Raw genomic sequence first — 9,836 nt, 5'->3', positions numbered from 1 at the left:
TAGAAGGCTGTGAAGTTTGATTCTTCCTAAATAAATGGGGAAAGTACCATTCTTATCAATAGCATATATTGATAACTACTGAGTTCAGGACATGTTTGCTAAATTTTAGATGAGGAACAGAGGATGGTACATGGACGGAAGATAATGGTACAGTTAGAGATTCTAACTCAAAATGAGGGGTAAAGGCACCAAGTCTATTGACATTCAGAGGATGCAGAGGTGTCTAAGGGACATAATGGGTGCTAGGACAATGCCAACAAAAAAGACATGACGAAAAGCACTTTCCAAACAAATGAAAGGTGGAATTATCAAAGTGAGGTGTTATAGCATTGAGGATAATGTTTGACTGCTTATAATAGAAAACCCCAAAGTGACAGTGTCTTTAAAAGAGATAGATTTTATTTATCTCTTACTAAAAAGTACATATGTGACCTGATATGGTCTTCTTTCTGCTCTGTCATTTATTCTAGGCGATAGGGGAACTGTCTGCATACCAAAAGTAGTAATGGTTGAGAATCGAATAAAGGAACTATTTATAGAGGTATAAGGATGGCTAAGAGCAACAGAAGAGAATGATGAAGATTCCAAGGAATAGAAACAGGGGAAGTCAACAATAGCTTTAAGTCTGAAGGGGTGAGAAGGAGATGCTGTTACACGAAATTAGCGCTGTGGCCATATGAAGAGCAACTGTGCCTTCGAAAGAGTACCATCACCACTGCTAAACTTCATTTCAGCAGAGAGAAAATATAGGGAATTAATAAATAATCTCATACTCTCCTCCTCCATTTCATTTCCTGTCATTGGTCAAATATAACTAGAAGCTACAGGCCAAGAGAGCCCAGGGGATACTTTCAGCATCTCAAGGAACAGAACAGGTAGAAAAGAGTAAAATACTAAATTAGAAGAATAAACATAAAATAATCAGTTGCCTCCTTTTATCCCTCAGTATGTGTTTTGTCTTTTTTCCATGTTTGGTCAGCTTGGGACCCAAAATCACTTAGTCTCCCATATTTAGGCATTTAGAATTTACCAAGACTCAGTTATACACCAGGAGCAGCTTTTCAAATGGCAGAAAGGGGCATGCATTTAATCTGAATTTCAAGAGGAATGTGCTGGTATTCTCCTGTTGGGACTTGCCAGAGATCTGAGGAGGCATCTGTCACGGTTCCATTCAGGACCATTGGGTCTGCTGCATCCTAAGATCCATATGCCAGAAAAAATTGTAATGCAGTCTAGGCCTGCTGTGTAGCCTTCACTTGCTCTGGGCCTCACTCAAAACTGCAACCTTAAATATAAATAATATATTACTCACAGTTCTCCTGAGGGACAGAACCATTAGGATACATGTATATAAAAAAGGAGTTTATTAGGGTGAATTGGCTCACAAGATTACAAGACAAAGTCCTGTGACAGAGTCCCCTGCAAGCTGGGGAAGAGAGAAGCCAGTAGTACCTCAGTCCAAGTCTGAAAGCCTCAAAACCAGGGAAGCTGACAGTGCAGCTTCAGTCTGCAGCCAGAGGACTAAGAGTCTCTGGGAAGCTGCTGTTGCAAGTCCCAGAGTTTAAAGGCTGAAGAACCTGGAGTCTGATGTCCAAGGGCAGGAGGAGCTGAAGCAAGTGTCCAGCATGAAAAGAATAAAAAGAGCCAGAAGATTTAGCAAGCAAAGTTTTCCACACCTTCCTCTTGCTTTGTTCTAGCTGCACTGACAGCCAAATGGATGGCACCCACCTACATTGAGGGAGGGTCTCCTCTCCCAGTCCAACAACTTAATGTCAGTTGTCTCTGGCCACATCCTCACAAACACACTCAGAAACAATTTCTTACCAGCCATCTAGGCATCCCTCAATGCAATCAAACTGACACCTAGTATTAACCATCACAAGTTCACTCCTTGTCAACTTGGCATCCATACACATCTTCTTAAATTATACTTAACCTCCAAATAAGGACAATAATAAAGTCATAATTATGTCTAACATAATATAACTATCCTTCGTACAACCAACCAAAAGTGCACTAATCCTTTAACCTAAATGCTATTACATAAAATTAACAGCATTTAAATACTGATAGACATGAAGTCAGTAAATCTTATGTTATATGATAAAGTAATAAAAATGGAAATAAAATGAAGATATTTTCTTAGTACTGGTGTGCATATCCACCAACATATTCTTAACCAAATAAGGAAAAAATGCTCATGACAATTAAACTCTTTGTTTCTGTAACTGGTCACATGGTTGTAGCTGGTGTTGGTAACTATCTTTTTCCACTATCCATTCAGTATTCCCCTTGCTTTCAGCAAGCACCTCAGCTGGTTGTGGTTTTTTTTGCCTGGTGGCATGACACAAACCTTCATTTCTGAAGAGCCTTGACTATGTGTAGTCTTGCCTGGATTGGGTTGATGTAGCTTCCCACTGACCTTAACTACAGGGCAGGGTAATACTGAGATGCCCTAATGAATCTCCTGTATTCCAAACATACTCTTCCTTACCTCCATTGTGGAGTAGTAGTCTGATTTCATCTTGGTAGTCCAGGTCAGTCACCCAAACCAGCACTGTAACTCCTTTCTTAGTCTCTTGACTTAGAGGCAGGTGGAGCCCAAAGTGGCCAGGTAGCAGTTGTCTCAACTTCCAGTTCAATGGAATCGTTGTTGTGTCTCCTGGTGCAACATTCCTCCCTCTGGAACTAAGACCTCTAGGCCAGAAAAACATAATATCATGGGAACAGGAAACACAAACTTTCTGGCAGGTCACTAGGGGTTATGGCGAGTGGTGCCACTGCCACTTCTACCCCTTTATCCTTGGACTCATAAATACTGGCTATGGGAGATACAGTACCATATATTGGATGTGATTCAGAGCATACACAGCCTTCTGGAGAACTTTGCCTTAGCCGGCATTGTAATTGTGACTTCAAAAAGCCATTCCACTCTTCTATCAAGCCAGCCGCTTCAGGATAATAGGGAACATGGTAAGACCACTAAATGCCATAAGCATGAGCCCACTGCCACACTTCTTTGCCTGTGAAGTCAGTTCCCTGGTCAGAGACAATGCTGTGTGAAATATCATGAGAGTAGATAAGGCATTTTGTGATTCCACAGATGGTAGTCTTGGCAGAAGCACTGCATGCAGGAAAAGGAAATCCATATCTGGAGTAAGTGTCTATTCCAGTAAGGACAAACTACTGCTCCTTCCGTCATGGAGGAGGTCCAATGTAATCAACCTACCACCATGTAGCTGGCTAATCACCTCAAGGAATCGTGCCATATCGAGGGCTCAGTGTTGATCTCTGCTGCTGGCAGATTGGACACACAGTAGTGGCCATAGCCATGTCAGCTTTGGTGAGTGGAAGTCCATGTTGCTGAGCTTATGCTCAGCCTTCATCCCTACCACCATGTCTGCTTTGTTTATGAGCCCATTGGGTGATAACAGGGATGGCTGGAGAAAGACGCTGAGTGGTATTCACAGAACAGGTCATTCTATCCACTTGATCATTGAAATTCTACTCTGCTGAGGCCATCCTTTGGTGAGTATTCACATGGAACACAAACATCTTCACAGTTTTTGACCACTCAGAGAGGCCCATCCACATACCTCTTCCCCAGATTTCTTTGTCACCAATTTTCCAATCATGCTCCTTCCAAGATCCTGGCCATCTACCCAAACCATTGACTACAGCCCATGAATCAGTATATAATTGCACACTTGGCCATTTCTCCTTTCAAGCAAAGTGCACAACCAGATATACTGTTTGATGTTCTGCCCACTAGGAAGATTCCCCTTTGCCACTGTTTTTCAGGAATCTCCCAGAAAGGGACTGTAGTGCTGCAACTGTTCACTTTCAGGTGGTGCATGCATATTATGCAGAACCATTTGTCAATTAGATCCTAGTCTTTTCTTCCTCTGTCAACTGATCATAGGAAACTCTCCATGAGGTCATACATGCAGGCTGAGAGAGACATGGTAGGGTGGTAGAAGTGGGGACCATGGGCATTTGGGCTACTTCCTCATGTAACTTACTTGTGCCATCAGAATCTGCTAGAGCCCAATCCCATATGTACCACATCCATTTGATGATGAAATGCTGCAGCATATGCCCACCCTTATGGGTAGATGAGTCAGAAAGCAATCAATTCATGATAGTCAGTTTAGGTCATGTGGTAACTTGGTGATATGGTTTGAATCTATGTTCCCATCCAAATCTCATGTTGAATTGTAATCCTCAGTCCTGGAAGTGGGGCCTAGTGGGAGGTGATTGGATCACGGGGGCAGGTTCTAAAGAGTGGTTTAGCACTATCCTCTTGGTGCTGTACTTGCAAGAGTGAGAGAATTCTTCAGAGATCTGGTCATTTAAAAGTGGATGTCTCTCTCTCTCTCTCTCTCTCTCTCTCTCTCTCTCTCTCTCCCTCTCTCTCTCTCTCCCTCCCTCTCTCTCTCTCTCTCCCTCTCTCTCTCTCTCTCTCCCCCTCTCACCATGTGACATACCTGCTACCCCTTCACTGAGGCCTCCCAGAAGCAGATGCAGCTATCCTTTCTTTACAGCCTGCAGAACTGTAAACCAATTAAATATCCTTTCTTTATAAATTACCCAGTCTCAAGTATTATATTTCTCTACAGCAATGTGAGAATTAACTAATACACTTGGCGACCCACAGTCAAAGGTTCAGTTTTTACCAAGGCCCAGTAACAGGTTAAAAGCTGTCTCTCAAGAGAATAGATATTTGCAGAAGATAGTAGGGCCTTGCTCCAACTGTCATTCATCTGTGGGGACCTGCCAAAGGCTCCAATCATCATCCCTCTCTGTCACGGATACCTCAAACACCATTGGATCTGCTGGGTCATCTGGCCCAAGTGGCAGACCAGCTTGCATAGCAGGCTGGACCTGTTGCAGAACTTTTTCCTGTTCTGGAACCCACTCAAGACTAGAAACCTTTTGGATCACTTAATAAATGAGTCAGAGTAACACAACTGAATGAGGAATGTGTTGCCTCTAAAATCCGAATAGGCGCACTAGGCATTGTGCAACTTTCTTGATTGTAGGAAGAGCCAAACGCAGTAACTTATCCTTTACTTTCAAATGAATATCTCAACAGGCCCCACATCAATAAACTCTTCAATATTTCACTGAGATAGAAGGATCCTGAGTTTTAGTCAAATTTATTTCCCATCTCCTGACATGACAAACATCTCACTAATAAGTCTAAAGTGGTTGCTACTTCTTGCTCCCTGGGTCCAATCAGCATAATGTCATCAATGCAATGGACCAGTATAATATCTTGTGGAATGGAAAAGCAATCAAGATCTCTGCAAACAAGATTATGACACAAAGCCAGAGAACTGATATACCCCTGAGGTAGGACAGTTAAGGTATATTGCTGAACTTGCCAGCTGAAGACAAGTTATTTCTGGTGGGCATTATGGACAGGAATGGAGAAAAAGGTATTTATCAAATCAATAGCTACGTACAAGTTACCAGGAGATGTCTTCATTTGCTCAAGCAATGAAACCACATCTGATACAGCAGCTGCAACTGGAGTCATCACTTGGTTAAGCTTACAATAATCCATATTATTATCTAAGATCCATCTGTCTTCTGCACAGGCCAAATAGGAGAGTTGAATGGGGATGTGTTGGGGATCACCACCCCTGCCTCTTTCAAGTCCTTGATCATGACACTAATCTCTGAAACCCCTCCAGAGATATAATATTGGTTTTATTTACTATTTTATTTGGTACAGGCAGCTCTAATGGCATCTAGTTGGCCTTTCCCACCATAATAGCCCTCACCCCACAGGTCAGGGAACCAATGTGGGGATTCTGCCAGCTGCAAAGTATGTCTATCCCAGTTATGCACTCTGGCACTGGGGAAATAACCACAGAATGTGTCCAGGAACCCACTGGACCCACTGTGAGTCAGACTTGAGCTAAAACTCTGTTAACTACCTTACCTTCAAAAGCCCCTACTCTAATTGGAGGGCCACAATTACATTTTAAGTCCCTGGAAATCGATTTCATATCAGAGTAAGTGCCCAGGAGTCCTCAAAAGGTCTGATCATTCCCCTTTCCCTAATGCACAGTTACCCTGGTAAAAAGCCAGAGGTCTCTTTGGGGAAGGATGGGAGAAAGATTAACAGTATAGATTTTCAGGAGTGTAGTGGGGTTCTCCCTCAAGGGAACGTGGCCTTCCCTTCATTCAAGGGGTACCAGGCCCATAAACTGGCTCAAGTTTGGAAATTGATTGAGGGACCTTGATTCTCTATTTTTATAACTCAAATTTTACTTTGTCCACTCGACCTGGAAGTTTTCTGCTTATGCAAATCAAGTAAGAATGCAGTAGGCTTCCTATTAATTTCACTTCTAGGAACACCAGGATTAATTAGCCACTGCCAGAACTCTATACAAGTCAGACTATTCTGATTGCCACTTTGCCTCTGCTGTTAATTATGGTAACTATGCCCACCTTGCCTTTCATGATTGAGTGCTGCCATTTAGTTGTTCCACCTGGGAGCCAATTATTCCCATTGCATTTAAGTTTTCCAATTGAGTGGCTGCCGTTTTCACTGTAAGATCTGGCATATGAAAAGGAACTATCACAGAACTCTTCAAGGATGCTGGTACTTGCCTCACAAATCTATGTCACAGGTATTGGTGAAGGTTATATCTTCTGGACTCTCCCAGTTGAGGTGAGTAGGTATTCAGTGACAAGGCTACTCTAGCATTTCAATCTCCCTAAGTCTTTGGATCACTTCATCTACATTAAACCAAGGGAGATCAGGTGTCTCTAGCTTGCTTACAGTGGACCATCTTTCGCTCTATGTTTTAGTTAACCAAGTAAATAAACTAGTAGAATCTTTGTAAATCCCTGAGCTGCAACATTTAATTCAGAATCTCTGTTTAGTGAGTCGATATCAATAAATTCAGCCTGATCCAACTTTATGATCCTATCACCATTATCCCAAACCCTTAACATCCATTGCCATATCTGTTCTCCAGATTTCTGCTTATATAAATTAGAAAACTCAAGCAGTTCTATTGGAGTGTAGTGCACCTCCTCATGGGTAACACCCTGAACCTCACCTTTAGGGTCCTACTGGGTCTTGAGTCTAGTTATAGGTCTAGAAACAAAGAGGCATGGTGGGGGTGGGTCCTGAAGATAATCTGCATTGTCTTGACTGGCAACTGCCTCAGGTGAGGCCATCACTGTGGTCTCAAGCAGTGCAGGGTTAATCTCCTCAGACAAAGGTGGAAAGGCTGATGGCAGTGTGGGTGGGGGAGGGGATGTTGCCACCACTGAGCATGGGGAGGCTGTTTCCTCTGGCAAAAAAGTCTCATCACTATTTAGAAGTTCAGTGTCCTCAGCTTCATTAGGGTCCTCTCACACATCCTCATGCCAAGTTACAGGGTCCGGTTGTTACCCAATCAATGACTTCACTTTAACAATAGACACCTGGTAAGGTTGAGCCGACACTTTTTTGTTGTTGTACCTCCGCCACTCACATGATAAGATCTTGCATCTTATTTTCAGCAATTTCAGCCCTTTGTCTATAGAAGAGAAGAATCTCACCCCGGACACTCTTAGAAGCTTTGAGGCAAAGTATGTTCTTCTAGAGCCAGGAGATATAGTCTCTGAACTCATCCTTTTCTTTCATCACTCTGTCCAGTGAATTTAGGAGCAAACAACCGACTTCATTATACTCCTTGGTTCTCTGCAAATGTTCAAAGGTATTATGTATAGAGTCACTAAACTTGCCTCTCAGGAGCACTGAATCAGGAGTATCAAATATCTTTATTTTGCACAACTCTGTAAACAATGCATGCCAAAGACTCAGTGCTCTCTGGGCTATTAGAAGAAGAGTCTTTAGCATGTTTAGGTCTAATCAGATTAGAAAGCCAACTCCAGATACCCCAAAATCAACTAAGAAAATTCATTCTTAAATTTCTTTCCTAATAACCAGTCCTGGTACCAAAATCTGTATTAGGGTTCTCCAGAGGGACAAAACCAATAGGATACATGTATATACAAAAAAGAGTTTATTATGGTGTACTGGCTCCCAAGATTACAAGACAAAGTCCTATGATAGGCTGTCTGCAAGCTGGGGAAGAGAGAAGCCAGAAGTGGCTCATTCCAAGTCCGAAAGCCTCAAAACCAGAGAAGCTGACAGTGCAGCCTTCAGTCTGCAGCCGAAGGACCAAGAAACTTGGGAAGTTGCTAGTGCAAGTCCCAGAGTCCAAAGGCTGAAGAACCTGAAGTCTGATGTCCAAGAGCAGAAACAGCAGAAGCAAGTGTCCAGCATGTGAAGGAGAAAGAGAGCCAGAAGATTCAACAAGTAAAGTTATCCTACCTTCTTCCTCCTGCTTTGTTCTAGCCAGGCTGGCAGCAGCCAATTGGATGGCCCCCACCCACATGATGGGAGAATCTTCCTCTCACATCCCACCAACTCAATGTCAGTCTCCTCTGGCAACACCCTCACAAACTCACCCAGAAACAATACTTTACCAGCCATCTAGGCATCCCTCAATCCAGTTAAGTTGACACCTAACATTAATTGTCGCAAATGGTAAATATACGTATTTAAATGCTCAAATATTTTACAGGTTAGCTCTAAAATCTAAAGAGGTCAGCCATTATGCCTATTTCTTTTTGAAGGGTACTTAGAAACTCCATGGAATTTTCAGACCCGTATTTATCTTAATAAATCAACTATGGTGCTTCCTACTTCCTTCATACCTGTTGCAATTAGTATAATGTAATGGATCAGGAAATAGTCTATAGAATTCCAAAAACAAAGAAAGAAGTTTTCTCCATACTAGGTTAGAACAGAGAGCAAAAGAGTTAACAAAGACCTGATATAAGATGGTAAGTAGTGCTGCTGCTCCTGATACATGAAGGCACACTATTTCTGATTGTGTTAACTGGTTGGAAGTTAAAGACAGTAATTTCTAAGGTAATAGCATACGAGAAGCTAACACATCTGTTTATTTGCTCATCATATCCAGAACAACAAATACAATTGTTGTATTATTTGAGTAATATTGTTATAATCCAGAGTCATTCTCTAAGATTATTCTAATTTTTTTTCAGAATTCAAACAAAAAGTTAAATAAGGATAAAATAGATAATGCTGGTTTTACAAATAGATAAAAAATATCCACTCCATTATCTCTTAAATCCTTGATGGTGGCACTAATCTCTGCAATTCCCACCAGTTATGTAGTGTTGCTTTTGATTTAGTATCTTGAGGAAGGATGCCATGAGAGAAAAATATATAGAACATTTCTGCAATAATAGCCCTCATTCCATAGGACAGAGAACTAATGAGAGGACTCTGCATTTACCAAATATACATATTTACTCAAAATATTCCAAAACTAGGGAAATAGGAAAAAAATAATTCTAATCAATTTAGTACAAGATTGACTTTGCCAAGATTCCATCTCACACTTGATATCCATTAGTCCTTAATTGAACCACTGGATCACATTGTTTCATTCAGATCTGGTATCTAACAACAACATACGGTCTGGTTTTTTGCTTTTTCTCAGTCACATTATTAAGGGATTATAGCCTCTGGAGAGAACATGAAGAAAGATTCACAGTACAGAATTTAGGCTCTTTTCTAGGGTCTTTCCTCAAAGAGGACTGGTCTCCCTGTCAATCAAATCATTCTGGGTCTGTGAGATAGTTTATGTTTTAGAATTGAATAAGAGGCCATGAACCCCACTGCAGTACTTCAAGTCTTATTTTTGCTCAATAGACCTGAAAATTTTCTGCTTTTATAAGTTAAATAATGCATTAGGAGGCTGCCCATCTATTTCACTCTCAGGAGCCTTGGG

General features: G+C 41.6%; 2 annotated features.

The window, feature by feature from the left end:
* Window positions 3,955–4,454: an enhancer, noted in NCBI's record as "H3K4me1 hESC enhancer chr6:94374425-94374924 (GRCh37/hg19 assembly coordinates)". NCBI's record gives its function as "activates a minimal SCP1, AML or CMV promoter by ChIP-STARR-seq in primed H9 embryonic stem cells {active_cell/tissue: H9 hESC(primed)}" and the evidence as "EXISTENCE:reporter gene assay evidence [ECO:0000049][PMID:30033119]".
* Window positions 4,455–4,956: an enhancer, noted in NCBI's record as "H3K4me1 hESC enhancer chr6:94373923-94374424 (GRCh37/hg19 assembly coordinates)". NCBI's record gives its function as "activates a minimal SCP1, AML or CMV promoter by ChIP-STARR-seq in primed H9 embryonic stem cells {active_cell/tissue: H9 hESC(primed)}" and the evidence as "EXISTENCE:reporter gene assay evidence [ECO:0000049][PMID:30033119]".

The sequence above is a fragment of the Homo sapiens genome, chromosome 6, assembly GCF_000001405.40.
Source record: "Homo sapiens chromosome 6, GRCh38.p14 Primary Assembly".
Lineage (NCBI taxonomy): Eukaryota > Metazoa > Chordata > Mammalia > Primates > Hominidae > Homo > Homo sapiens.
The sequence above is the reverse complement of the archived record's forward strand: the minus strand, read 5'-3'. Positions and strand labels throughout refer to the sequence as shown.